At 56.2% G+C, this 24,073-nt stretch overlaps 5 protein-coding genes and 2 non-coding genes across 34 annotated transcripts in view, besides 17 other annotated features; 5 read left to right on the top strand and 2 right to left on the bottom strand.

Moving 5' to 3' along the window:
- Window positions 1-1,567, top strand: part of QRICH1 (glutamine rich 1) — a 64,667-nt gene extending 63,100 nt beyond the window's left edge. For all 10 annotated transcript variants that reach the window (NM_001320584.1, NM_001320585.1, NM_198880.3 and 7 more), the window contains one exon: window positions 630-1,567. In NM_001320584.1, coding sequence (NP_001307513.1) covers window positions 630-822 — 193 coding nt within the window. In that variant the 3' untranslated portion in view covers window positions 823-1,567. The remainder of the gene's footprint in view (window positions 1-629) is intronic.
- Window positions 1,539-2,140: an enhancer, noted in NCBI's record as "H3K27ac-H3K4me1 hESC enhancer chr3:49066567-49067168 (GRCh37/hg19 assembly coordinates)". NCBI's record gives its function as "activates a minimal SCP1, AML or CMV promoter by ChIP-STARR-seq in primed H9 embryonic stem cells {active_cell/tissue: H9 hESC(primed)}" and the evidence as "EXISTENCE:reporter gene assay evidence [ECO:0000049][PMID:30033119]".
- Window positions 1,876-2,085: an enhancer, noted in NCBI's record as "active region_19850". NCBI's record gives its function as "activates an Ori minimal core promoter by ATAC-STARR-seq in GM12878 lymphoblastoid cells {active_cell/tissue: GM12878}" and the evidence as "EXISTENCE:reporter gene assay evidence [ECO:0000049][PMID:35858748]".
- On the top strand, window positions 1,876-6,949 carry IMPDH2 (inosine monophosphate dehydrogenase 2). Of its 4 annotated transcripts, NM_001410759.1 has the most exons (15): window positions 1,876-2,021; window positions 2,468-2,516; window positions 2,742-2,843; window positions 2,952-3,026; window positions 3,358-3,564; window positions 4,227-4,314; window positions 4,388-4,587; window positions 4,665-4,755; window positions 4,855-4,950; window positions 5,208-5,279; window positions 6,005-6,148; window positions 6,234-6,378; window positions 6,472-6,615; window positions 6,696-6,779; window positions 6,870-6,949. In NM_001410759.1, the coding sequence occupies exons 1-15, from the start codon at window positions 1,924-1,926 to the stop codon at window positions 6,889-6,891; spliced, it is 1,617 nt and encodes a 538-aa protein (NP_001397688.1). In that variant the 5' UTR covers window positions 1,876-1,923; the 3' UTR covers window positions 6,892-6,949. The 4 variants fall into 4 exon arrangements, with proteins under 4 accessions (NP_001397688.1, NP_001397689.1, NP_000875.2 ...); NM_001410760.1 differs by lacking the exon at window positions 2,952-3,026; NM_000884.3 differs by lacking the exon at window positions 5,208-5,279.
- Window positions 2,141-2,743: an enhancer, noted in NCBI's record as "H3K27ac-H3K4me1 hESC enhancer chr3:49065964-49066566 (GRCh37/hg19 assembly coordinates)". NCBI's record gives its function as "activates a minimal SCP1, AML or CMV promoter by ChIP-STARR-seq in naive and primed H9 embryonic stem cells {active_cell/tissue: H9 hESC(naive and primed)}" and the evidence as "EXISTENCE:reporter gene assay evidence [ECO:0000049][PMID:30033119]".
- Window positions 5,867-6,006: a silencer, noted in NCBI's record as "silent region_14352". NCBI's record gives its function as "represses an Ori minimal core promoter by ATAC-STARR-seq in GM12878 lymphoblastoid cells {active_cell/tissue: GM12878}" and the evidence as "EXISTENCE:reporter gene assay evidence [ECO:0000049][PMID:35858748]".
- On the bottom strand, window positions 7,779-10,822 carry NDUFAF3 (NADH:ubiquinone oxidoreductase complex assembly factor 3). Of its 4 annotated transcripts, none has more exons than NM_199074.2 (5): window positions 10,704-10,822; window positions 8,736-8,928; window positions 8,506-8,572; window positions 8,298-8,398; window positions 7,779-8,218 (listed from the first exon to the last, which is right to left on the bottom strand). In NM_199074.2, the coding sequence occupies exons 2-5, from the start codon at window positions 8,832-8,834 to the stop codon at window positions 8,102-8,104; spliced, it is 384 nt and encodes a 127-aa protein (NP_951056.1). In that variant the 5' UTR covers window positions 8,835-8,928; window positions 10,704-10,822; the 3' UTR covers window positions 7,779-8,101. The 4 variants fall into 4 exon arrangements, with proteins under 4 accessions (NP_951056.1, NP_951047.1, NP_951033.1 ...); NM_199073.2 differs by lacking the exon at window positions 10,704-10,822 and adding an exon at window positions 9,875-10,190; NM_199070.2 differs by lacking the exon at window positions 10,704-10,822 and adding an exon at window positions 9,490-9,624.
- Window positions 8,763-8,812: a silencer, noted in NCBI's record as "silent region_14351". NCBI's record gives its function as "represses an Ori minimal core promoter by ATAC-STARR-seq in GM12878 lymphoblastoid cells {active_cell/tissue: GM12878}" and the evidence as "EXISTENCE:reporter gene assay evidence [ECO:0000049][PMID:35858748]".
- Window positions 8,873-8,992: a silencer, noted in NCBI's record as "silent region_14350". NCBI's record gives its function as "represses an Ori minimal core promoter by ATAC-STARR-seq in GM12878 lymphoblastoid cells {active_cell/tissue: GM12878}" and the evidence as "EXISTENCE:reporter gene assay evidence [ECO:0000049][PMID:35858748]".
- Window positions 9,033-9,132: a silencer, noted in NCBI's record as "silent region_14349". NCBI's record gives its function as "represses an Ori minimal core promoter by ATAC-STARR-seq in GM12878 lymphoblastoid cells {active_cell/tissue: GM12878}" and the evidence as "EXISTENCE:reporter gene assay evidence [ECO:0000049][PMID:35858748]".
- Window positions 9,297-10,066: an enhancer, noted in NCBI's record as "NANOG-H3K27ac-H3K4me1 hESC enhancer chr3:49058641-49059410 (GRCh37/hg19 assembly coordinates)". NCBI's record gives its function as "activates a minimal SCP1, AML or CMV promoter by ChIP-STARR-seq in naive H9 embryonic stem cells {active_cell/tissue: H9 hESC(naive)}" and the evidence as "EXISTENCE:reporter gene assay evidence [ECO:0000049][PMID:30033119]".
- Window positions 9,353-9,542: a silencer, noted in NCBI's record as "silent region_14348". NCBI's record gives its function as "represses an Ori minimal core promoter by ATAC-STARR-seq in GM12878 lymphoblastoid cells {active_cell/tissue: GM12878}" and the evidence as "EXISTENCE:reporter gene assay evidence [ECO:0000049][PMID:35858748]".
- Window positions 9,579-9,781: a silencer, noted in NCBI's record as "fragment chr3:49058926-49059128 (GRCh37/hg19 assembly coordinates)". NCBI's record gives its function as "represses an EF-1alpha promoter that drives an FKBP-Casp9 reporter gene in an ReSE screen in K562 erythroleukemia cells {active_cell/tissue: K562}" and the evidence as "EXISTENCE:reporter gene assay evidence [ECO:0000049][PMID:32094911]".
- On the top strand, window positions 9,769-15,786 carry DALRD3 (DALR anticodon binding domain containing 3). 10 transcript variants are annotated; one of them, XM_017006723.2, is made up of 13 exons: window positions 9,769-10,428; window positions 12,721-12,874; window positions 12,956-13,251; window positions 13,405-13,661; window positions 13,761-13,840; window positions 13,918-14,046; window positions 14,427-14,500; window positions 14,601-14,662; window positions 14,763-14,845; window positions 14,934-15,116; window positions 15,214-15,301; window positions 15,402-15,470; window positions 15,567-15,786. In XM_017006723.2, the coding sequence occupies exons 4-13, from the start codon at window positions 13,445-13,447 to the stop codon at window positions 15,629-15,631; spliced, it is 1,050 nt and encodes a 349-aa protein (XP_016862212.1). In that variant the 5' UTR covers window positions 9,769-10,428; window positions 12,721-12,874; window positions 12,956-13,251; window positions 13,405-13,444; the 3' UTR covers window positions 15,632-15,786. The 10 variants fall into 10 exon arrangements, with proteins under 10 accessions (XP_016862212.1, XP_047304394.1, XP_047304393.1 ...); XM_047448438.1 differs by having other exon boundaries at window positions 15,188-15,301; XM_047448437.1 differs by having other exon boundaries at window positions 11,839-12,874; window positions 15,188-15,301.
- On the top strand, window positions 10,565-10,656 carry MIR191 (microRNA 191). The gene has a single exon (NR_029690.1). It is a non-coding gene; the product is annotated as a microRNA 191 (primary transcript).
- Window positions 11,040-11,126, top strand: MIR425 (microRNA 425). Its single transcript, NR_029948.1, has one exon. It is a non-coding gene; the product is annotated as a microRNA 425 (primary transcript).
- Window positions 13,147-13,918: an enhancer, noted in NCBI's record as "H3K27ac-H3K4me1 hESC enhancer chr3:49054789-49055560 (GRCh37/hg19 assembly coordinates)". NCBI's record gives its function as "activates a minimal SCP1, AML or CMV promoter by ChIP-STARR-seq in primed H9 embryonic stem cells {active_cell/tissue: H9 hESC(primed)}" and the evidence as "EXISTENCE:reporter gene assay evidence [ECO:0000049][PMID:30033119]".
- Window positions 13,464-13,698: a silencer, noted in NCBI's record as "fragment chr3:49055009-49055243 (GRCh37/hg19 assembly coordinates)". NCBI's record gives its function as "represses an EF-1alpha promoter that drives an FKBP-Casp9 reporter gene in an ReSE screen in K562 erythroleukemia cells {active_cell/tissue: K562}" and the evidence as "EXISTENCE:reporter gene assay evidence [ECO:0000049][PMID:32094911]".
- Window positions 14,204-14,273: an enhancer, noted in NCBI's record as "active region_19849". NCBI's record gives its function as "activates an Ori minimal core promoter by ATAC-STARR-seq in GM12878 lymphoblastoid cells {active_cell/tissue: GM12878}" and the evidence as "EXISTENCE:reporter gene assay evidence [ECO:0000049][PMID:35858748]".
- Window positions 15,323-23,883, bottom strand: WDR6 (WD repeat domain 6). 4 transcript variants are annotated; one of them, NM_001320546.3, is made up of 6 exons: window positions 23,743-23,883; window positions 17,158-19,853; window positions 16,981-17,064; window positions 16,775-16,891; window positions 16,556-16,674; window positions 15,323-16,449 (listed from the first exon to the last, which is right to left on the bottom strand). In NM_001320546.3, the coding sequence occupies exons 2-6, from the start codon at window positions 19,659-19,661 to the stop codon at window positions 15,986-15,988; spliced, it is 3,288 nt and encodes a 1,095-aa protein (NP_001307475.1). In that variant the 5' UTR covers window positions 19,662-19,853; window positions 23,743-23,883; the 3' UTR covers window positions 15,323-15,985. The 4 variants fall into 4 exon arrangements, with proteins under 4 accessions (NP_001307475.1, NP_060501.4, NP_001307476.1 ...); NM_018031.6 differs by having other exon boundaries at window positions 17,158-19,639; NM_001320547.2 differs by lacking the exon at window positions 23,743-23,883 and adding an exon at window positions 23,615-23,669 and having other exon boundaries at window positions 17,158-19,639.
- Window positions 16,844-17,681: an enhancer, noted in NCBI's record as "H3K4me1 hESC enhancer chr3:49051026-49051863 (GRCh37/hg19 assembly coordinates)". NCBI's record gives its function as "activates a minimal SCP1, AML or CMV promoter by ChIP-STARR-seq in naive H9 embryonic stem cells {active_cell/tissue: H9 hESC(naive)}" and the evidence as "EXISTENCE:reporter gene assay evidence [ECO:0000049][PMID:30033119]".
- Window positions 16,920-17,049: a silencer, noted in NCBI's record as "silent region_14347". NCBI's record gives its function as "represses an Ori minimal core promoter by ATAC-STARR-seq in GM12878 lymphoblastoid cells {active_cell/tissue: GM12878}" and the evidence as "EXISTENCE:reporter gene assay evidence [ECO:0000049][PMID:35858748]".
- Window positions 23,209-23,388: a silencer, noted in NCBI's record as "silent region_14346". NCBI's record gives its function as "represses an Ori minimal core promoter by ATAC-STARR-seq in GM12878 lymphoblastoid cells {active_cell/tissue: GM12878}" and the evidence as "EXISTENCE:reporter gene assay evidence [ECO:0000049][PMID:35858748]".
- Window positions 23,929-23,978: a silencer, noted in NCBI's record as "silent region_14345". NCBI's record gives its function as "represses an Ori minimal core promoter by ATAC-STARR-seq in GM12878 lymphoblastoid cells {active_cell/tissue: GM12878}" and the evidence as "EXISTENCE:reporter gene assay evidence [ECO:0000049][PMID:35858748]".

The raw sequence follows: 24,073 nt of genomic DNA, 5'->3' as shown, positions 1-24,073 counted from the left end.
GCTCACGCCTGTAATCCAAGCACTTTGGGAGGCCAAGGTGGGTGGATCACCTGAGGTCAGGAGTTCGAGACCAGCCTGGCCAACATGGAAAAACCCCATCTCTACTAAAAAATACAAAAATTAGCTGGGCTTGGTGGCTCGTGCCTATGGTTCCAGCTACTCCAGAGGCTGAGGCAGGAGAATCGCTTCAACCAAGGGGGCGGAGGTTGCAGTGAGCTGAGATCACCTCACTGCACTCCAGCCTGGAGACAAGACGCCATCTCAAAAAAAAAAAAAAAAAAAGCGCAAAGACTTGGAGATAGACGCTTTGAGCAGTGAAGCTGGCTTCAAGTAGGATAAGGATAGACTCACATGAGTCCATGAGAGCCCTAGGCTGGTGCAGTCAGTGATGGATCACAGCTGGTTTGTGGGAAGGAGGGGCAGAGGGGAAGTAACCCAACATTTGGGGGATTTGCAGTAGTCCCAAAGGAGGACCAGGATGTAGTGTGTGGTGGCTGCATGGAATTCAGTAGCTGTGCCACAATAACTTGGGGCCTTACTGTTTGCAGACAGCATCTGTCTGGGAAGTTCAGGGTGGGAGGGTTGAAGTTATATTGGTGGTACCCAACTTTTATCCGCATATTCTTCAGCCCCCAGAGTGTGAAAGGCCGGAATGACACCTTTTACCTGACACCTGAGCCAGTGGTGGCCCCCAACAGCCCAATCTGGTACTCAGTCCAGCCTATCAGCAGAGAGCAGATGGGACAAATGCTGACGCGGATCCTGGTGATAAGAGAAATTCAGGAGGCCATCGCAGTGGCCAATGCAAGCACTATGCACTGAGATGCCTTGGCCATGGCACAAGAGAAACCAGCCAGGAAAAACCAGACAGACTTTCACACTAAAGAAGAGGCCTCCATTTTTTTTTTTCTTTTTTTTATTGGTGTAGTTACGAAGCCTTTCAGGCTGCTTCTGTTTAAAATATAAAAGAAAACTTTGCCCCCTTTGCATCTTCATAAACCTGCTGCGGCAGACTCCTCAGCCGATGGTGGCTCTGGGTTTCCTTGAGTGTCATATGTCCTAGAAAGTTGCTGGCTGACTCTTTTTTGTCTGGGGCCTGGGGAAAGGGCTTGGACTGTGAAAAGAAATGTGGCCCCTTTCCATCTTCAAGAGAGATGGAATTAATGATGGATGGACCCTGGAGGGAATCTCCCCAGCCGACTTCCACTGGGCTGACAGACTTTGCTGACCACAGGGGAACGATGTTCTTTTCTTTCTTCATGATCAGACATAAACTTAGCATCTTAATGGAAGAAAAATGAGGGGAACTTCAATTATGATTTATTAAAGACAATTTCTATTACACCCTCCTTTATGACAAGTGACATTTTAGATGTAAAAGTAAAAACTTTACCATGCCTTTTTTTTTTTTGTTGGCCTAACATTGAGGCCTTAAAACCTGAGGCTCCTGTGCCTGATGGAATTCTTGTAACATACACTTGTGTATCATATAAAGATACCACTCTGTTTCTCTTATGTATTCTTACTCTAGTTGTTTATTAAGAATGACAAGCACGTCTTTTCAACATGTTAGTGAACAACGTCTCTTTATTTTGGGGAGGAGCCCGGCGGGACAGTAGAAGTAAACCCTTGCCTGTTAATTGAACTGGCCGAGGTCCTGCGGGGAGTGTGGGGTGGGACGTGAAGTGGCAGCTCCTCAGTGACAAGGCCACTATGTGCTATACGCATGCGCTGTTTCTTCAGCGCCAGCTCCGCCCCCGCCGCAGCGAGGCGGGTAGGTTCCGCCCGCGCGCACTACGCCCTGACGTCAGCGTCGCGCGCAGCGCAGTGACGAAATCGGCTGGTTTATATTGGCGCGGCCCAGACGGCAGAGGTCTCTGCGGCGCGGTCCTCGGAGACACGCGGCGGTGTCCTGTGTTGGCCATGGCCGACTACCTGATTAGTGGGGGCACGTCCTACGTGCCAGACGACGGACTCACAGCACAGCAGCTCTTCAACTGCGGAGACGGCCTCACCTACAAGTGCGGGCCTATGGGGCTCACCTGGGCGAAGAGAGGGGCGGCACCCTGGGGAAAAGGCCAGATGGGGGCTTCCGAGAGCCGCCTTGGGCGTGGGCGTGGGGGACAGGTTTCGGGAATTGGCCACCCACCTCCGGGGCTCACTTTGAGACATCTGGAGCGGTGCTTGGGGTACGGAGAAGCATCTCAGTAGTGCTTGGAATCTCAGGCCGGAGATTCCATGCTCCAGACACATGGAATTGTCAGGGTGCCAGGAGCACTGATGACAGCTCGGTGGCAGAAAAGGTCCCCTGTACCCATTTCCACCTTGTGCTGTGCCTGTGACACACAGACTCTGTCAGTGCCACTCTCTGCTCACATGCGTTACGGGTTGATTGGTACATGGGGATGGAGTCTCATGCTGCCCTAAGCTGAGAGCTTTACTCCCAATTCACTCCCTTCCCTCGCAGTGACTTTCTCATTCTCCCTGGGTACATCGACTTCACTGCAGACCAGGTGGTGAGTATGATCAGGAATTGGGTCCTGAACATCAAGGTGAGCTAAGGTGCTACTATCACCTGGTCTCTGGGCTAACTCACCAGATTGGGCTTGGGGGTGGATTTTATAGGATCATGTTGCTTGTTAGCATGCAGGTCATACAAAAGTGCCTTTTTGTGGGGGACTCAGTAACACCTTGAGGTGTAAGGGATGCTTTCCCACACTGGTTGACGTTTGTCTCCTCAGGACCTGACTTCTGCTCTGACCAAGAAAATCACTCTTAAGACCCCACTGGTTTCCTCTCCCATGGACACAGTCACAGAGGCTGGGATGGCCATAGCAATGGCGGTGAGCCCCATGGGGTGTGGGGGAAGGAGCAAGGACTCCATCGCCTTTCCCCAAAGGCATTCAGTCCTGCTTCTTGTCACTTAGTAGTAGTCTCTTTTTATCCTGTAGCTTACAGGCGGTATTGGCTTCATCCACCACAACTGTACACCTGAATTCCAGGCCAATGAAGTTCGGAAAGTGAAGGTCAGAAGGGCAACGATCATTAGCAAGCGCTCCTGGGAATTGCACTGAGGTGGGGTGGGGTGGGAGTAGGGGTTTATTCTAATTTAGTATTCTTTCTTCCCACCATGGGGTTCAGTTACTGAGAAGACCCTGAGATTCTGTTTCTTAAAGCAGCAGCAATAGACCAGGTGTACAGTGCCTCCAGCCTACCCATGTCTCTAAGATGTGTTGGTGTGATTTGGTCTTGTGGCACTGCCAAAGGGATCGATAAGCAGAGACCCCATGCTTCAGATCAAGAGCCTGATGAAAGTAGTTCAAAGATGCGATGCCCTTTCTCACCATCCCTTTCCAGAAATATGAACAGGGATTCATCACAGACCCTGTGGTCCTCAGCCCCAAGGATCGCGTGCGGGATGTTTTTGAGGCCAAGGCCCGGCATGGTTTCTGCGGTATCCCAATCACAGACACAGGCCGGATGGGGAGCCGCTTGGTGGGCATCATCTCCTCCAGGGACATTGATTTTCTCAAAGAGGAGGAACATGACTGTTTCTTGGAAGAGGTGGGTGCCACTGGCAGAGTAGATCCAAGCTCTAGCAGCCCAGGTTGAAGACAAGGGGCTTCTGTTGTCTAAGACATCTCTGATAGCCTCTTCTCTCTGGGAAAGGAGTGTCAAACCAAGTTTCTGACTCCTTTATTGGGTTCCTGCATCCTTTCCCCACCAGAGGCTTTCAAACTGCCCAAATGCTTGCTAGTATTCATGCTTTGTTCTTTTAAACCCCTAAGGTAGGGGCAGTGCTTGAGGTCTGCCCTGATTTTCTTGCCATTGTTCCTGTGTTGTCCTCCTTATTCCATAGTGTAAGAGGGTGCTCCCTGTGCCATGTTGTCCTTTCTACTCATCCCTCACTCAATACCATACTGCTAAGAATTATTGGGATCCCTTGAGGAAGGGTGTTTTGGGTGTGAATGTATGAACGTGGTGGTCCATAGAACTTCACCCCTGTAATCTCAGTACTTTGGGAGACTGAGGCAGGCAAATCATGAGGTTAGGAGTTTGAGACCAGCCTGGCCAACATGGTGAAACCCCGTCTCTACTAAAAATACAAAAAATTAGTTGGGTGTGGTGGCGCGTGCCTCTGAGCTCAGCTACTTGGGAAGGAAAGAAAAGAGTTAACTGGTCATAGTCGATGACTGGCCCTTCTTCACATCTCACCTCCCACGTAGATAATGACAAAGAGGGAAGACTTGGTGGTAGCCCCTGCAGGCATCACACTGAAGGAGGCAAATGAAATTCTGCAGCGCAGCAAGAAGGGTAAGTCCTAGAGCTGGGAAAGGGCCTGGAACTAATGCCTAGGGTCCTGATTCATGTCCTGCCCTGACCACAGGAAAGTTGCCCATTGTAAATGAAGATGATGAGCTTGTGGCCATCATTGCCCGGACAGACCTGAAGAAGAATCGGGACTACCCACTAGCCTCCAAAGATGCCAAGAAACAGCTGCTGTGTGGGGCAGCCATTGGCACTCATGAGGATGACAAGTATAGGCTGGACTTGCTCGCCCAGGCTGGTGTGGATGTAGTGGTTTTGGTGAGCTGCTACACAGGTGGGTTGGGGCAATAGGGGCAGCTGCCACATCACAGTCTGAGACTTACTTCTTGTCCTAGGACTCTTCCCAGGGAAATTCCATCTTCCAGATCAATATGATCAAGTACATCAAAGACAAATACCCTAATCTCCAAGTCATTGGAGGCAATGGTAAGGCAAGATTGTGCCCTGAAGGATGTGTGGTGGGAGTGGGTAAGCTGGGCTCCCACCTTAACCTTCACATGAGCATTTTCCTTTCCTTCACCATAGTGGTCACTGCTGCCCAGGCCAAGAACCTCATTGATGCAGGTGTGGATGCCCTGCGGGTGGGCATGGGAAGTGGCTCCATCTGCATTACGCAGGAAGGTAAGAATATACTTTGATAGGGCCCACAGAGACCCCAGTTTCAGGCCCCACATACCTTGGAACCAAGCACTCTTATGGGGACAATAGAGCCCTCCAATAGGGGCAACCCTGGGGCCAAATTGGCCTCTTGGATGGGTGACATGGCTGGAAGCAAGACAAGGTCTTGTCATCCATCACCTGCCACTCCCTTGCCTAGCCTGGCCTTCTTGCTCCTGCTCTGCACCTTCTCTAAACTCTGGTCTGTTTGTTTTATTTAGTGGCTCCCAAGATCCCTCCAGACATAAAGTCCCACAGCCCCAAATGCCCTTCTACTGTCACGGGTTGCTATAGTAAGTCCAGCCCGGCCCACTGGCCCGGCCCAGCTGCCCACTGCCCGGCTGCTTGGTTGACGTAGCTGTAGCTCCCGGGGTTTGTGGTGCTGATGGGTGGGCAAGGCCAACTGATACACAGACCATGGTTTGGGGGTGGTGCTCAAGAACATAGCTCCCTCTTCCTTCTGGGGTGCTGATAGGGCAGGACCTTCTTCCCTAGGCAGGACCTTTTCTGCCCACATCTTCTGCAGTAGGCATAGTTCAGGGACCAACTCCTTTGTGTGGTCCTTGCTCTCCCACACAACCACTGCCTGCTCCACACAACCACAGCCTGCTCTCCTACACAACCACTGCCCTTATCTTGCCTGAGCTGCCCACCATTCAGGGAGGAAGGGCTGGGCCTGACCTCAGTGCCTCTGGGGACTAACTGCACGGTGACTCCTGCCCCATCTGATACCAGCTGGACGGGGGCTTTCCCGGCTGCTAAGACTGCATGTGCCTGAGGCTGCCCTGGGCACTGCACACATGCACGTGCACATGTGGGGGTGAGTAGAGGTCAGCACAGCTGTTTGTACTATTTAAGGCAGATGTGGCAGCAGCCATCCCAGACACGTCTGTTCCTCAGCCAAGCTGCAGTCCTGATGCAGATGTAGCCAAAAGCTCCTGGGTCCTAAATATGGCCACAGGGTCCACTGCCCGTCCCCATTAACCCTATCCACCCATGTGTTCCTCCATCTCAACAGTGCTGGCCTGTGGGCGGCCCCAAGCAACAGCAGTGTACAAGGTGTCAGAGTATGCACGGCGCTTTGGTGTTCCGGTCATTGCTGATGGAGGAATCCAAAATGTGGGTCATATTGCGAAAGCCTTGGCCCTTGGGGCCTCCACAGGTGAGGCCCAGTACCCGTGAAGGCCAGTGGGACCCCCTCCCTAGTGCTGCTTAGGCTCTAACCCAAGCACTCCATCTGTCCGCAGTCATGATGGGCTCTCTCCTGGCTGCCACCACTGAGGCCCCTGGTGAATACTTCTTTTCCGATGGGATCCGGCTAAAGAAATATCGCGGTATGGGTTCTCTCGATGCCATGGACAAGCACCTCAGCAGCCAGAACAGATATTTCAGGTGGGACAGGCAAGCCAGTTACCCCACCCTAATCCTGCACTGACAGTCTCATCTCTGCTGTGACCTTGCCCGTGTCTCTGCCTCTCCCTGCAGTGAAGCTGACAAAATCAAAGTGGCCCAGGGAGTGTCTGGTGCTGTGCAGGACAAAGGGTCAATCCACAAATTTGTCCCTTACCTGATTGCTGGCATCCAACACTCATGCCAGGACATTGGTGCCAAGAGCTTGACCCAAGTCCGGTGAGCTTGGGGAGCTGGGACATGGGTAGAGGGGCTGGTCCAGGGCCAGCTACCCACATTTGACCTCTGCCCTTCTTCAGAGCCATGATGTACTCTGGGGAGCTTAAGTTTGAGAAGAGAACGTCCTCAGCCCAGGTGGAAGGTGGCGTCCATAGCCTCCATTCGTAAGTCACCCTGTCCTTGGTGGGGCCTCTGCCATACCTCATGCCTCCTTTCTCCTGCCCTCACCTCACAGGTGGTCCTTCTGCCTGCAGGTATGAGAAGCGGCTTTTCTGAAAAGGGATCCAGCACACCTCCTCGGTTTTTTTTTCAATAAAAGTTTAGAAAGAAAAAAGTGATGCCTGATCTTTCAACAGACAGGTGGGGCTCTGTAGCTGCCACTACCACAGATGCACACAAAAACAGCACCCTCATTTCCAGGGGGAGCCTCAGGCCCCGAGATAAATGTGCTCCATGGACCTGGAAGCGGGTAGTTCCAGGTCCAAAAAGTTCCTCCTGAGGCTGCTCACAAAACAGCTGACTATAGCTATAGCTATGGCTCTTGGGGTTTCAGTCTCACACTGAGCATCTGACTCTGGCTCCCAAGGGGTCAAAGAACAAGCCCTGGGACTGGCATACACAGGGCATCCTGCTAGCCCATAGCTTGGCCATATAGGACCAGGTCAACACACATATATATTCCCTAACTTGAATCTCTCTCGGCCAGGCACATTGGCTCACGTCTGTAATCCCAGCACTTTGGGAGGCAGGTGGATCACTTGAGATCAGGAGTTCGAGACCATCCTGGCCAACATGGTGAACCCTTTCTCTACTAAAAATACAAAAATTAGCTGGGCGTGGTGATGCATACCTCTAGTCCCAGCTACTCAGGAGGCTGAGGCAGGAGAATCACTGAAACCCAGGAGGCGGAGGTTGCAGTGAGCTGAGACTGCGCCACTGCACTCCACCCTGGCGAAAGAGCAAGACTCATCTCCAGAAAAAAAAAAAAAAAAAAAAGCCCAGTGTAGTGGTAGGGGCCTCTAATTCCAGCTACTCAGGAGGCTGAGGCACGAGAATCGCTTGAATCCAGGAGGTGGAGGTTGTAGTGGGCCAAGATCACGCCACTGCACTGCAGCCCGGGCGACAGCGAGACTCCATCTCAAAAAAAGAAAAACAATCAGCGATTTTGTGAGAAAAGCCGTTGAGGTCCTCTCAAATCTGCATGTGAGCAAGTAGGTCTACAACAGGCAAACATACTGCTTCCCGACTTCTGAAAAGTCAAGGAATCCTAAGTAATCTAGATGAAAAAGTGACTCCTTGGTTTCTTCACATTCCCCTCCAAGAGCCCAGTGAGCCATCAGCTCCTGGCCAGCAACACACCTGATACAAAATGGGAGAAGTGTATAAATTATTATGTTGATAAGCAAGATAAGTGCCAAAGGGTAGATAAGAGTGAAAGCATTGGGAAGCCTGGCAGAGTGCAGTCAGCAGGTCAGTTCCTGGCGGTTCATTGAGCAGCTTGGCCCAAAGATGTAAGTGAAGTCCCTCCTGGTGGAGGGATGAGAGCAGCTCCAGTTACTCGGCCTTCATGACACAGGAAGTTGAAGGTGGCACAGGCATTGGGCTGCAAAGAAAAGGCCAGCATCAGCCTGTCTAGCGCCAGGCCTGTGCTCCCCGCAGCATGCCCCAGTCCCGGGACTCACCGTGTCCTGCACTTCCACAGCAATGCCCCGCTGCCTCATGGCTTGAAGCACCTGGGACTGCAGCCTCTCGGTCCGGTCTCCAGTCCCCACCACCACGATCTCTAGGGAAGGGTGGGTGTGGCTAGTCTACAGTTCTGTTGAGAGGCTGCAGTGGGGGTCGCCTTCTGGGGCCCAGAACACCTCTGTTCTCCCTCCCCTTCCCCAGTACCTATCCGGGGCTCCAGCAACCAGAAGAGGGAAAAGCTGTCTTCGGTGATGTCCTGGTGGGATCCCACCTGTGCAGGGAGGAGGCACATTTAATACGACAAATCCACGCAGCCTCTCCCCATCTCCATCCACTGCAGGAGGAGACAGAGGAAAGCCAAGTTTGCAGGGACCAAGCAGGGTGAGGGCCTGTGACTCTGGGCCTCAGTTTCCACACTGCGGGCCAGGACTCACGTTCCACTGCACCACCGAGTGCGGGAGCAGAGCGCAGGGGCCGAGCACGCGGTTTCCGTTTATCATGAAGCCGCGGCTGTTGTAGCTGTCGATGTACATTGCCTGAGCGGCCTCGCGTTGCAGCAGAGAGATGCGCGTCCGCTGATACAGCTCGTCATCCGCCGGCGAGAGCCGATGCCCTCGCCGCGGGGCCCTGCGGAGGGAAAGGGTCAGGGGCGCGGGGCCGGGCCGGGCAGCCCGAGAGGCCGGAAGGTGCTGGGCTGGCAGTCGCCGGCCCTAGGGGGCTGGATGGTCGAGGGCGCGGGGTCCAAGCTCACCAGGGAAGCTCAACGGGCGGACAGCGCAGCGAGGGTCGCGCTCGGTACAAGCTACGTAGCGCGAGAGCGGTGGCCATGGCTGACCAACGCGCGGCGAAGTCGTCACCGGCGCCGTTAGTCCCCGGGTTGGGAGGGCCCTGCGGAGCCTGACCCAGCGTGGCTGCAGCGCCCCCTGCGTCCCGGAGGGCACCGCACAGCTCGACCGGCCCAGCAGGCGAGTGTCCTCAGTCTTAGGAGGCCGAGTTCCCCGACCTCCGGCGCAGCTCCAGTGTCAGCACCTGCCGCCCTCCCCGCCCCGGGCCCTTGCCCATAGTCCCGGGGGAGTGGAACACCTGGCAGCGTGGCCACCCTCAGGGCGTTGCCTGGGCCGCAGCCGCGGCCTGGCCCCCGGGCTCTCAGCTATTAAGCCGCGCTCCCGGGGCGGGGCGACCGCCCACCTGGTCGCGTCCCGAACACCTGGCCAGGCGGTGGGTGCCAGACTTCTAGCCCCTAATTCCAGCCTTTGGGGCTTCGGGCACCGTGGGCGGGGCAGCCGGCTCAAGTTTCTCCGGCTAGACGCGGAAGCACGCCCCGCCCTAACCGTCACCCGCGCGACCGTTGGCCTCTCCGCAGCGCGCGGAGAGGGGCGTGGCCGAGCGTGGATTGGCTTCTCGGGTTCTCTAGGGGGCGTGGCCAGGTGGTTTCTCCTTAAAATGGCTCCAAGTCTGCAGGCAGCCAGAGCAAGCGGAAGGGCAAGCTGTGATAGTGTTTGGGTGGCTGTTCGGCTGGCCCAGACCAGGCCGAACCGGACCAGACTTGAAGTAGAAGCGCGTGGAGCATCACCTTGTCCTCGTTCACTCTGCTCGCGTCCTGGGAGTCCCCCGTCCCCCGTCTTGATCCAAGTCAAGGGCCTACTGGCGCGAGAGTCGCTGGCCCCCGCGCGGGGTTTGGGCATCTCGGCACGCCGGCTCTGTCGTGGCCTCAGGGGAACATTGTCGCTTTCGCTACCCGCGGGGCCGGGCGAGCGGGAAGCTCGGCACAGTGGGAGCCTGGTGGTGGGTCTCCTGGGGCCGGTCGCAATGGGTTTCCGGGGGTCCCGCGGCTGCTCTGTGGACCCCTTCGGCCCCTGGTGCTCCGGGCGCTGGCAGCGTCACCGGACAAAGGCCACCGAGCGCGGGGGTGTCCCCGAGGTGGACGCGCGGGTTTACTTCCTCTCCGGCCCCACGGGCGCGCTTCCCTCCTGACGGATTCCGAAGCCCGCCCCACCACCGTCACCGCACCAGTGGCCCAGGCTTCGTGGGACCAACAGGGCTAATCCTGCCCCACGGATCTAATCCGGATCGGGACCCGGTCCCAGGGGAGGCCCCCACCTCCCCTTCTATTGTTCTGTGGCCCAGGTGAGCGTCTTGTTCCCTCTAGACTCCGTTTCACAACCTACTCCCGGGTCTTCCTCCTGGGACTGGGGATGGGCGGGTTCTGATGTGGCCCCAGGGCGAGTGACCTGGGGGCAGGAGCTCCCCCGCCCCCCGCCAACGGCTGGACAGCGGGCAACGGAATCCCAAAAGCAGCTGTTGTCTCCAGAGCATTCCAGCTGCGCTTGGATTTCGTCCCCTGCTCTCCTGCCTGAGCAGCGCCCTGGCCCAGATGGGGTGCCCCTGACCCCCAGACATACTTTACTGAGCTGCTTGGGTCTCAGTTCCTCTCAGTTGCGCCCTCAGGCTGGAGGTGATGGGTGTAGACGTGGGAGAGCCGAGGCTGGTGGCCATCTCTGGAACCCTGGGGAGGATTGGCGAGGGAGGGTGGACCCAGGACCTCTGGGTAGGGCTGCAATGGTAGTGACTCCCCCAGGGCTGCCTCAGCCCGCATCTCGCTAAAGATAGCCCTCTTACTTCCTGGGGAAAAACCACCCCAACCGTCTTCGTGGATGAGAGTATCTGAAGTCCTCAGTTTGACTGAGGGTTCCCAACCCTGCTAAGCAGTTGTCTCCAGGTCATGCACCTTCAGAATGGAAAGCGCTTTGGAATGACACGATCACTCCCGTTGAGTGGGCACCCGAGAAGCCATCGGGAATGTCGTGTCCGCCCAGTGCTCTTTCGGCGCCTCCCAGCAGGGCCTCAGCCCTGGCCCAGAAAGGGGCCTTGCCAAGCTTTTCCTGCCCCTGGGTTTCCCTGCTCTCCGGATTTCCCAACTCTCTCTACTGAGTTAGCTTCTCTATTAAAAGGAATGGGGGTGGGGTGGGGGGTGAGTAAGTTACAGTGAAATGAAGACATTTGGGAACCTTTGTGGGAGAAAGAAAAAGACCTTTCCTATTGGTAGAGGAGCAAGATACTCCAACTGAGGCCTATTTTCTATTATGGTCGCATTATTTGGTTGGCCCGTAAATGGCTGTTGCCTAAAACAGGAAGCTTTAAGGATCGTTGTTAAAGCACACCAGGTTAAAGGAGTCACATTAAAAGCTGGTCATTCTGAGCCGGGCGCGGTGGCTCACGCCTGTAATCCCAGCACTTTGGGAGGCCGAGGCAGGCGGATCACCTGAGGTCGGGAGTTCGAGGCTTGACAAACATGGAGAAACCCCGTCTCTATTAAAAATACAAAAGTAGCCGGGCGTGGTGGCGCGTGCCTGTAATCCCAGCTACTTGGGAGACTGAGGCAGGATAATCACTTGAACCCGGGAGGGGGAGGTTGCGGTGAGCCAAGATCACACCACTGTACTCCAGCCTGGGCAACAGGAGCGAAACTCCGTCTCAAAAAAAAAAAAAAAAAGTCTGGTAATTCTGGAAGCCATCATGATGGTTGTGATTTCTCAGGTATCAAGAGAAGAAAACCGCCAACTGTATCAGAGTGCTTATTTATTGGGCATAAAGACCACCCGGGCTGGGTGCAGTGGCTGATGCCTGTAATCCCAGCACTTTCGGAGGCCGAGGCGGGCAGGTCACGAGGTCAGGAGTTCGAGACCAGCCTGGCCAACATGGCGAAACCCCGTCTCTACTAAAAATACAAAAATTAGCCGGGCGTGGTGGCGGGCGCCCGTAATCCCAGCTACTCGGGAGGCTGAGGAGGAGAATCCTGTGAATCCGGGAGGTGGAGGCTGCAGTGAGCCGAGATCGTGCCACTGCACTCCAGCCTGGGAGACAAGAGCAAGACTCCGTCTCAAACAAACAAAAAAACACCCATATCTCAAACGAGAAAATGCTTGCAAATAACCTGAAACCGCGGAACACTATTCTTTTTAAAACGAGATATTTTAAGTAGGTCGTGAAAGTGGCCTTAATGTTATACTGCCTTATTCCAGTGACGAATATTCATCATGTGTAAAATGGGAGAAATGAAATGTTATTAAAACAAACATGTGAGACTTCGATGAGAAGAGACGGTACCCGGTCTAAGCGCCCACCGGGTCGCGAGGATCCTTTTCCTGGTTAAGGCCTGGGTCACAGCGAAAGAACCCTAGGCCCAGGGAGGGCCCCGAGATTTCAGATCCGGGGCCCGGCTGTGCAGGTGGACCACGCGGAAGGGGCGCTGGGGGCGGTAGGTCGAAAGCAGCCGACAGGGCTACCACTGGCGCACCTGTCCACTTACGGGGACCACCGCCGCATCCCCGCCCCAGCTAGTCGGTCCTTTCCGGAAGTTCCACCTCCCTAAATTTTTTTCCGGTTCCGCTTACTCCTTCCGGTCACCATGGCGACCAGGCGCCTTGGGGTCGGGGAGACGCTGGGGGCCCTCAACGCGGCCCTGGGGCCAGGCGGTCCGGTGTGGATCAAGGAGACGCGCACCCGCCACCTGCGTTCCCGAGACTTTCTGGCACCGCACCGCGCGCTGCAGGCGCGCTTCGATGACGGCCAGGTGGGCGTGAGCCGGGCGGGGCCGTGCGGCCGGGAGATGGGCCCCGTGCCGTGGCTCTTTTACACGCCCGTTCTCCCGCAGGTTCCGGAGCATTTGCTCCATGCCCTCGCCTGCCTGCAGGGCCCCGGTGTGGCCCCGGTGCTGCGCTGCGCGCCGACCCCCGCGGGTCTGTCTCTCCAACTGCAGCGGTCCGCCGTCTTCGAGCGCGTCCTCAGCGCCGTGGCCGCCTATGCCACGCCCGCCTCGCCTGCCTCGCTGGGCCAGCGCGTCTTACTACACTGCCCAGCACTGCGCAGCTCCCCCTGCGCACTCCGCTTGAGCCAGCTGCGTACGGTGCTCGTGGCCGATCACCTGGCGCGAGCCCTGCGCGCTCACGGGTGAGCGGGGCCGCGGGGCCGGAATGGAGAAAGTGGGACTGCCGGGTACCTAGAAAGCGAGCGGCGCCGCCCGTGGGGACTGCGGCTGGAGGTGGGAAGTCGTGGCGAGCTGGACCAGGTGCTCAGACTGAGGCGGCCGCCCTCCCTTCGCAGGGTGTGCGTGCGCCTAGTGCCAGCTGTGCGGGATCCGCACATGCTGACCTTCCTGCAGCAACTGCGGGTGGACTGGCCCGCTGCCTCGGAGAGAGCTTCCTCCCACACCCTGAGGAGCCACGCCCTTGAAGAACTTACCTCTGCTAATGACGGGAGGACACTGTCCCCTGGCATCCTAGGCAGACTGTGTCTGAAGGAGCTGGTGGAAGAACAGGGCCGCACAGCTGGCTATGACCCCAACCTGGACAACTGTCTGGGTAGGACCTGAAGCCTAGCAGGGCCAGAAAAGGCAGGAGGGGGTTAGGGGCACATCTCTGCTTCTTGTCAGTCTCAGCACCTGTCTGTTCTCTTTTCAGTGACTGAGGATCTCCTCTCTGTGCTGGCTGAGCTGCAAGAGGCTCTATGGCATTGGCCCGAGGACAGCCACCCAGGCCTGGTTAGTGACTCCCAGCCCTGTAGGTTCTCCCAAACCAAGTATACTGTACTTCCACAGTTATGATTGTCCTCCCTTAGGCTGGGGCCTCAGATACTGGTACAGGCGGCTGCCTGGTTGTACATGTTGTTAGCTGTGAGGAGGAGTTCCAGCAACAGAAGTTGGACCTGCTTTGGCAGAAGTTGGTTGACAAGGCTCCACTCAGACAGGTAGGTTAATAATGATGGTGGAGCTCCCCACCACCTAACCCCCAACCTCAGAGGGCCCTTGAAAACCCACCGAGGGGCTTGTTAGCTGACAGAAACCAACACTTGACCTTGGGGGAGTTGCTGGACTTGAGAGGGCATGTACAGCAGGTGCAGAGGCTCTGGGGAAGGGGGGTCTGTAGACACATCCCAAGAACACTGAAGACCAGGTTGAGAAGGATGAACCATGCGTAGCCTGAGTGGCTGGGTAGACGGAGGCACTCAACCTGGCAGTTCCAATTTGAGGGAGTCTGGGCTGAGTAGAGGCACCAGATTTGGGCTCCTCAAGGGACTTCCTGGAGAGTAGCGCCAACTAGGCTGAGCCCCTGACATCTTTCTGACAGAAGCACCTCATCTGTGGCCCTGTGAAAGTAGCTGGTGCACCTGGCACTCTGATGACTGCCCCTGAGTACTACGAGTGAGTGAGGCTGGGAGGAACACCAACCTAAGCCAGGGTAATGAGGGGGGACTCTTTACCCAGGACCCTGCCCACTGGCCTTCCTCTCTTCCAAACACAGGTTCCGGCATACCCAGGTGTGCAAGGCCTCAGCACTGAAGCATGGTGGGGATCTGGCACAAGGTGTGCCTGGGAAACCCTGGCTATGTTCTGGGTTAGGGGCAGGTTTTTTGCATCCCTGCCCTTGCCTGCAGACTGACTGACCAACCCTATACTCCCTCAGACCCAGCCTGGACAGAGATCTTTGGTGTTCTCTCTGTGGCCACCATCAAGTTTGAGATGCTGAGCACAGCCCCACAGAGTCAGGTGAGCCTGGGAGCCTGACAGGGCCAGTGTTGGGGCACAGGGTGTGGTGGCTGCCTTCTCTCTCTGCAGCTGTGCTTCTATTCCCCAGCTCTTCCTGGCTCTGGCTGACAGCAGTATCTCCACGAAGGGCACAAAGAGTGGCACCTTTGTCATGTATAATTGTGCCCGTCTTGCCACACTCTTTGAGAGTTACAAGTGTAGTATGGAACAAGGTCTGTACCCCACTTTTCCTCCTGTGAGCAGTCTGGACTTCTCACTGCTACATGATGAGGTGAGTGTCCCTCCTGGTAGCTGGCACAAGGAGGCCTGGACTTCCCCTCCCAGCACCTTTCTCCCCAACAGGGTGAGTGGTTGTTGCTCTTCAACAGTATCCTCCCCTTTCCGGATCTGCTGAGCCGGACAGCAGTGCTGGACTGCACAGCCCCGGGGCTCCACATTGCTGTACGCACAGAGATGGTGAGGCATAGACAACCAGGACACTCTACACTCTATTCTTTATTCTGGCCTGGGGCACAAGAGCAAAGAGATGGGCCAGTGACTCAGTCTCTGTCTCTAGATATGCAAGTTCCTGGTACAGCTCAGCATGGATTTCAGCTCCTACTACAACCGGGTACACATCCTGGGGGTGAGCACACAGCAAAATGGGGTGGGACGTGCAGAGAGGTATAGGGTAAAGGCAAAGGAAGCAGAGGATGAGACCAGCAGGCCCTTTCTCTTTCAGGAGCCTCGACCACACCTCTTTGGTCAGATGTTCGTCCGCCTGCAGCTTCTGAGAGCTGTGCGTGAGGTGCTCCATACTGGCCTGGCTATGCTGGGTCTCCCTCCACTGAGCCACATTTAAGGCCACAGAGGCTCCAATACCTGGGAATGTTCACAAAGTCATCAACTGGAAAAAAAGCAAAAACCCACGGCCAAAATAAATTGGTACTGTTTGTTACAAAGTTCTGTCTTGTCATGGGGAGTCGGGCATATTCTTGGCAGCACTCCACTCACCTTCAGCTCCTGCACCGACATCAGGAACCCACGGCCACCACCTCCTCCCCTCAAGGCATGCTGAGCATGGGCACAGACAGCCCATCCCTGCTCCATGCTGTCTGTGAGCAGGCCCCATGCCCAGCACGCCAGCCACCGCAGGATACCTCAGTCATACCAGTTGTAAACCTCAAGCCCCTGACCCCCAAGGGCACAACGGTGGCCAAACTCAGGGCTCACAGGCCAGCAGTCCATGTCAGCCACATCAGGCACATGGAACACAGTGCTATTCATGAAGGTGGGTTCACCATGCCCCAGACGCCAGAAGGTCAGCCGTTGATCAATGGAGGCTGAGACCATGATGCTTGGGCTTAGGATCTTGAGGCCTGTCACATGGGCAGCATGTGCACAGGGGACAGAGTATTCCTCTAGCACACGCAGCTGGGGTACCAGCCCAGCCTCTCCCACAGCCTCTTCTAGCTGTAGCATCTCCACAGCAAGCACGAAGACATGGAGGGATCCATCTTCACTGCCACTGGCCACGAGATGGTGGCCCTCACGGGTGGGCAAGGTGTGCAGGCTGTTGATACCACAGCTGTGGGCCTGGAGAGTCAGGGAGGGGGTGCCAAGCCCTGAAGGAAGAGGAAGAGGGTAGTTGTCAGGGCCCCGCCTGCCACATGTGTGAGGGCTATGTGACAGGTGAGGAGGGGTAGCCATGGTTGCACATTAGCTACTCACGGTAGGGAAGCCCAGGATCCACTGGAGGCTCCAGGACAGTGGAGTCATGGTCTAGCATGGTGGTGAGATCCCAGAAAGCCAGGCTGCCATCAGTAGCTGCGCTGCACAGGAGGAGCCTCCTGAGAGCCAGGAAAAGACAGCCTGGTCAATAACAGAGATGAAGCTCAACAGGAACCCCCCAACCCAGCCCATGCAGGACCATCATCCAGCCCCTCTCACCGCCTCTGGTTGGGTGCCTCGTGTGTAAAGGAGTGGACCTTGAGGACACATCGCTTATGGTGGAAGGTTTCAGCAAGGAGCTGCAGAATCCGCCCAGAATCCTGCAAAAGAAAGAGCCTGGGGGGCGGGGGGTGGCCCAGCTCAGAACGCATCCTAGACAACCTTACTTCCTTTGTCTCCTGTCCCACTGGGCCCTATGCTCTCACCTTACGGCCCCATCACTACAGGCTGCAGCCACAAGGGGGCCAAGGCCGGGCTGGTCAAGTTCACACACAGCAAGGGACATGTACCTGCAGAGACAACATGCAGCTGTCAGGTGGAGCCTGCAAGCCTGGGAGCATCTGCATGACCCATACCACACCCTGCCCAGGAGCATATATTACCTGGTCTCTGGGTCTACCTTAACCATCCGATGCCGATTGCGTTGCCGGTCCCAATACTCATCTAGCCGGTGGGACGAAAGGTGCATGACATGGCAGGCGAGGCGGCTTGGGGTGCTGGGGTCCGGAGTAACCATGATGCTGAAGCAGTGCATCTCAGCCCGCCCCCCCGCAGACACCACATGGGCAGTCAGGCCTGGCTGAGGATCCTGAGGGCCACCTGGGGTGCCAATGCCCCACACAGCCACAGCACGTACCGAGGAGATATGGTTACAAACAGCTGTGAGTGCGTGGGCTGAGCCTGTGGTTGTAGGGAGTGCTAGGACACAGACAGTAGTGTCCTCACTACATGTGATCACAATGTCAGTCAAGTCGGGCCCCTCACTGCCAGGCTCCAGGTCATCAGGCTGCATGAAGCTGGGCACTCCATATTCAGGCCCCAGGGTAATGGTGCCCACACGCTTTACACAAGTGATCTCACGGCCATGCAGACCCTCCCGGAGAATCACGTGTGGCCGGGTGCAGCCACCCAGAGCCCTGTACAGCATGACATCCCCATCCTTGAGGTAAGCAAAGGCCATGGCCGCCTCAGTATCAGAGAATGCCCACGAACGGTGCCCTCCACCACAGTTGACGATGTGCAGCTTCTCGTGTGACCGAGGGTTCCACACCACAAACTCATTGGCATGGAAACCCAGGATAACCATGCTCCCATCGGGCACTATACGGAGCCCAGCTAGCCAGTTCATGCCTCGACAGGACTTCTGCCTTAGGACTGGCTGGAGCTGGCCGTCTCGTACAAACAGCTGGTAGTAGGCTCCATCACGCCCTGTGGTATACACATAGCCACCATGGCATGTGACTGAGGTCACACCCTGCTTCCCGTGCAGAGAGGGCAGGGTAGACACTGGGCCCAACCCAGTGAAAGCATTCCCACCCCCACTACTACCACTACCCACTACAGGTGCCCCAGCACCAGCCCGAGCCTTGCCTCCCACCCCAGGGTCCTTGAGCAGACCTGGTCTGGAGGGGAATAGCAGCACAGAGCCCCGGCGGTCACCACACACCAGGAAGTCACCTGGGGGTAGGAAGGCACTGCATGTGTGCCATCTCTGCTTGCTTGGGGGCAGCAGGTACCGACAACGTTCCTTGACAAAGATGGCCTTGCCAGAGGGTGCGGCTGAGATCTCTAGGCAAGCTACTACCCCGCCAGGGCCCGATGCCAGCAACAGGAGCTCCTCATAACCACGCAGGGCCCAGCTCAAGCTGTGCACCTTCCCAGGAAACAGGGTCTGGTCCACAGCAGCAGTTGGAGTGTTGATGGGGACAACCTTGACACGACCTTCCCCATTGGCCATAGCACACAATCCGAAGCCCTCGGGACCAGGAGCTGCCTCCAGCAGGCAGTAGGACTGGAAATGTTTATCCTCTAGCAGCTGCTCCCAGCACTTGACCTCGACGTCATAGAGATACAGGGCCCCTGTATCAGTCACTGCCAGCAGTCGCCAAGAGCCAGCCAGAGTCACAGCCTTGAGTGTACCTGGCCTACTACGGGACTTGAAGCAGAGAGCCGAGACCCCCAATCCCCGGTACCCACGCCCTACCAAGTGCCACAGCCGAATGCCTGAGTCATCACCCCCAGTGATCACCCAGGCCTGCCTCTCATGGGCAGCTATGGCCCGGATCCCACGTCCCTGGTGTCCCCGAAAGGCCTGGAGGATCTCACCTTCATGGCTCCACACCAAGCAGACACAATCCTCTCCTGCACTGATAAGGTAATTCTCTAGAAGCTTGACCTGCCACACACGGGCGCTGTGCCCAAAGCAGTGCCCAATATTCTGCACCCGACCCCCAGGCACTCGCAGGTCGCCCACCTTCCAGATACGAACGCTTCGGTCTTCTGAAGCTGTAGCCAGCAATCCCTTGCTTTCCAGGTATGACATGCTGAAGATGATGCCCACATGCCCACTGATTCGTCGGTCAGGTGCTACAGGTTTGTTGTCTGCTAAGGCAGTTGCTGGGTACCAGACCAAGAGCTGGTTGGAAACAGCACCTGCCACTATGGTCAGCTCCTTCCAGGCGTCTCCAATCAGGCAGGCTGAAGAGAGGGTGCACCTGTCTGTGCAGGGCACCTCTTGCAGGATGCACCCTACTACAGGGTCATATAGCACCACTGAGTTGTGGCCCAGGGCCAAGGCTATATTTCCCTCAAGCCAGCGTGCATCCCAAATCCAGTCAGACATGTTCCACAGGCCAGAGCGCCAAAGCTCCCAGAAGTGGCCCTGTCCCCAGCTAATTTTCACAACTCGGAGTCCCTTGCTTCCAAACACAGCCACCATGGCCTCCAAGTCAAGGTCTCCATTAGGCTCTGGCCGTACCCGGAAGCCATGGATAAGATAGTGGCCAAGCAGGTTCTGCACTCGCTTTATCATCCGCAGATGCCCACCAAAGTCCAAGCTGTACACCAGGACATCGGGACCCTCACCTAGATAGAGGCAAAGAGCCATGTCAGAGCTAGGTACCTAACTCTGATGACCCACAGGGAAGAGATGGGGATCAGGGAAACTTCTCGGCATGTAGCCTATGAATGCATCAGGACACACAATCCTGCAGCTTGAATCTTAGAAAATCCTTGGTCTCGGCCGGGTGCGGTGGCTCACGCCTGTAATCTGGGCACTTTGGAAAGCCAAAGCCAGACTCTGTCTCAAAAGAAAAAAAAAAAAAAGAAAATCCTTGGTCTCGGCCAGGCACGGTGGCTCACGCCTGTAATCCTAGCACTTTGGGAAGCCCAGGCGGATGAATCACCTGAGGTCAGGGGTTCAGGACTAGCCTGGCCAACAAGGTGAAAACCCCATCTCTACTAAAAAATTAGCCAGGTGTGGTGGCACGTGCCTGTAATCCCAGCTACTCAGGAGGCTGAGGCAGGAGAATCGCTTGAACCCAGCGGGTGGAGGTTGCAGTGAGCCAAGATCATACCACTTCACTCCAGCCTGGGCGAAAGACTCAAAAAAAAAAAAAGAAAAAAGAAAATCCTTGGTCTCAGCTTCAGCTGGACTTTCAGTGCTGACTTTGTGCTTCCCTCATCAGTCATTCTTTTTTTTTTTGAGACAGAGTCTCATTCTGTCGCTGAGGCTGGAGTGCAGTGGCACCGTGCAGCTCACTGCAACCTCCATCTCCTGGGTTCAAGCAACTCTCCTGCCTCAGCCTCCCAAGTAGCTGGAATTACAGGCGCCCACCACCACACCTGGCTAGTTTTTTTTTTTTTTTTTTGAGACGGAGTCTTGCTCTGTAGCCCAGGCTGGAGTGCAGTGGCACGATCTCAGCTCACTGCAAGTTCCACCTCCCGGGTTCAGGCCATTCTCCTGCCTCAGCCTCCCGAGTAGCTGGGACTACAGGGGCCTGCCCCCATGCCCGGCTAATTTTTTGTATTTTTAATAGAGACAGGGTTTCACCGTGTTAGCCAGGATGATCTCGATCTCCTGACCTCGTGATCTGCCCGCCTCAGCCTCCCAAAGTGCTGGGATTATAGGCGTGAGCCACCAAGCCCGACCAGTTTTTATATTTTTAGTAGAGACAGGGTTTCACCATGTTGGCCACGCTGGTCTCGAACTCCTGACCTGCGGTGATCCACCCACCTTGGCCTCCCAAAGTGCCGGGATTACAGGCGTGAGCCATTGTGCCCGGCCCCCTCATCAGTCACTCTTTTTTTTTTTTGAGACAAAGTCTCACTCTGCCGCCCAAGCTGGAGTGCTGTGGCGCGATCTTGGCTCACTACAAGCTCTGCCTCCCAGGTTTACGCCATCCTCCTGCCTCAGCCTCCCAAGTAGCTGGGACTACAGGCATCCGCCACCATGCCCGGCTAATTTTTTGTATTTTTAGTAGAGACGGGGTTTCACTGTGTTAGCCAGGATGGTCTCGATCTCCTGACCTCATGATCCGCCCACCTCGGCCTCCCAAAGTGCTGGGAATACAGGCGTGAGCCACCGCGCCCAGCCTCATCAGTCACGCTTGATGTTCACTTCAACCACAAATTTCTCAAACTCAGAGCCTCCTCCTCACCTCACTTTTTTTTTTTAATTAAAAAAAAAATAGAGATGGGGCCTGGCACAGTGGCTCACACCGATAATCCCAGCACTTTGGAAGGCAGGAGGCTCGCTTAAGCCCAGGAGTTTGAGACCAGCCTGGGCAACAGGGCAAAACTCCACCTCTAAAAAAATTATACAAATGAGCTGGGCATAATGGCGCATGCCTGTAGTCCCAGCTACTTGGGAGGCTGAGGTGAGAGGATCTCTTGAGCCCAAGAGGTGGAAGTTGCAGTGACCTGAGATTGCACCACTGCACTCCACCCTGAGCAATAGAGCAAGACTCTGTCTCAAAAAAAAAAAAAGTAAAATAAAATGAGAAGGATTTTGACAATGCAAAAAGAAAATAAAAGATGTAAAATGAGAAAGTCTAATCCAGTGGTTCTCCACAGGGGGCAACTTTCCCCACAGGAGACATCTAGCAATAGCTGGAGACACGTACGGCTGTCTCCAGGGGTTGTGCTACTGGCAAGTAAGGCCAGGGATGATGCTAAACATCCTACAATGCACAAACAGCATTCCAACAAAGAATTATCTGGTCTAAAAGGTCAATCGAGGCAAGATTGAGAAAACCCTGGTCTAATCTAACAAGACTGGGTGAGTGTAAGGGGAGGCCAACTTGAGGACACAATATTTAGAGTTAGGATTCAAGGATAAGCAGCAGTTAGCCAGAGGAAAGGAGGCGGAAGAGGGGGACTGGGAAATGTTGGGGCGGGGGGGGGGGGGTGGGGAGCAATGGGAGGGTTTGCAGCTTTCTTGGTGGAGAAAACAGCATGTATGATTGCCCTGAGATGGGCAAGAGCATTGAGTATGGTGGATGGAACAGGAAATGAAGAGCTCAGGAAGAGGCTAGAGAGGCCGGGTATGGTGGCTCATGCCTATAATTCCAGCAATTTGGGGGGCTGAGGCAGGCGAATCACTTGAGGTCAGGAGTTTGAGACCAGCCTGGCCAACATGGTGAGGCCCCATCTCTACTAAAAATACAACAATTAGCTGGGCATGGTGGTGGGCACCTGTAATCCCAGCTACTCCGGAGGCTGAGGCAGGAGAATCACTTGAACCTGGGAGGCGGAGGTTGCAGGGAGCCGAGACCGTGCCACTGCACTCCAGCCTGGGTGACAGAGGAAGACTGTCTCAAAAACAAACAAACAAACAAACAAAAAACACACACACACAGAATTGTAGCTATATAAAAGTCACTTTGGAAGCCACAGAAGTAGGTGAATTCACTTGCAGAGCTTCTTAAACTGCATTTCCCAAGTTATTCCCCACCTTAAAACCCTTCAATAGGTTCTCCCCACTGCCCTTAGGGATAAAGTCAGATCAAGGCCTGAAACAATGTGGCCTCTGCTCGCTTGTCCAGCTTCCTTTCCTCCCAGACTCCATTCCTGCTCTAACTTCACAAGAATTCCCTCCTTCCCCCAAAATGACAGATTCTTCCAGCCTCAAGGCCTTTGGCATGCTTACCCTCTTGCCAGGAACTCACCCCTTTTCCTAGTTCACTCTTGTGGTTCTTTGAGTTTCTGCTTCGTTGTTCCCCCTCAAGGAGCCTTAGGAGTTTAGCTCGCGGTAGGAACTCCGCGCTCCAAGAACCCCCACACCAGATCAAAACTGGATCATCCCCACCCCATACACACACCCTCTTAGGACTGGTGGCAACTCACTCAAGGCCTGACCGCCAAGGCCCTGCCTCAGGACCCTTATACAACTCAGCAGCACCAACATGGGTCATTAGTGGCTTCATGTAATGACTGTTCGAGACCAGCCTGGACTCTGACACCTCAGGTCCCAGGCCTCGCCTGTCCTTTGCGACCCGGTTCTCCTTGGAGGGACCTCCACACCTGATTTCCTGGACCTCAACCATCTCAGGAGGGGGTCTCAGCCCCTGCTTCCCCGGGCACCGCCCCCTACTCGGAAAGGTCTTATCCGCCGTTTTCCGCGACGCCACCCTCCTCAGAGGATCTTCACCCCCACCTTAGGGGGAAGAGACTCATCCCGCCCTCGAGAGGCCACACCCTTGCCCTCTCCCGGCCCCGCCTTCCCCAAGAGGCCACACCCCCTGAGGGGCCGGGGCCGCCTCCGCCTCCTCCTCCTCCTCCTCCCTCCGCCCCCCCCAGCTCGGCCCCGTCTCCTTCGGAGAGGCCAAGCCCCCGCCCATCTCCTAGAAGGGAGCACACCCCCTCAACCCTCAGCTCCCGGGCCTCCGCCTCCGCCTCCGCGCGGCCGCGTTCCCCTGCACCCTCCCGCGGTTCCACCCGCCCTTTCCACGCGGGCTGAAGTTTATGAAGCGCCGCGGCGGCCACATCAGCTTTGTCTCTCGGGCCCCGCCCTCTTCAGGTTGGCCCTCGTCCCCGCCATCTCCGGGGCTCCCTTCCCACCTCCGATCGGCCTCAACCTGCTGCCCGTCCTTCTCCTCAGGGCACCCCTTTTGTCCCTGTGGCACCGCCCCTGGGAGGCGCTGTTTCTTTCCCCCTTTCCACCAGGCGTGCCTCAAGCCAAGCCTCACCCGCCAACAGCCGGTCCCCCACGCACTCCAGACCCGTCACTGGGAGGAGTATAAGCTCCGAGGTTGCCCGCGGCCAAACGTAGTCCTCGAGAGCGTCCATGTCGATCCTCGAGGTGCTGAGGCAGCCACGGCTAAGAAGGGAGCTGAACTCTCGCGAGAACGAGCCTTCCCAGCGCGCCGCGCTGCCCATCAACAGCGCCCTCAGCTACAGGTAGCAGAGACCAGGGCGCCCGCGGCGGTTGTCCAATGACGACCCTTCGTCCCACGCAATCCAGCTCATCATTGGCGGGGCCCGCGGAGGGGCATCCCGCCCCTCGCCCCCTCACGTGAC

Source organism: Homo sapiens, chromosome 3 (genome assembly GCF_000001405.40).
Source record: "Homo sapiens chromosome 3, GRCh38.p14 Primary Assembly".
Lineage (NCBI taxonomy): Eukaryota > Metazoa > Chordata > Mammalia > Primates > Hominidae > Homo > Homo sapiens.
Note: the sequence above shows the minus strand (reverse complement) of the source record. Positions and strands in the feature narration are given on the sequence as shown.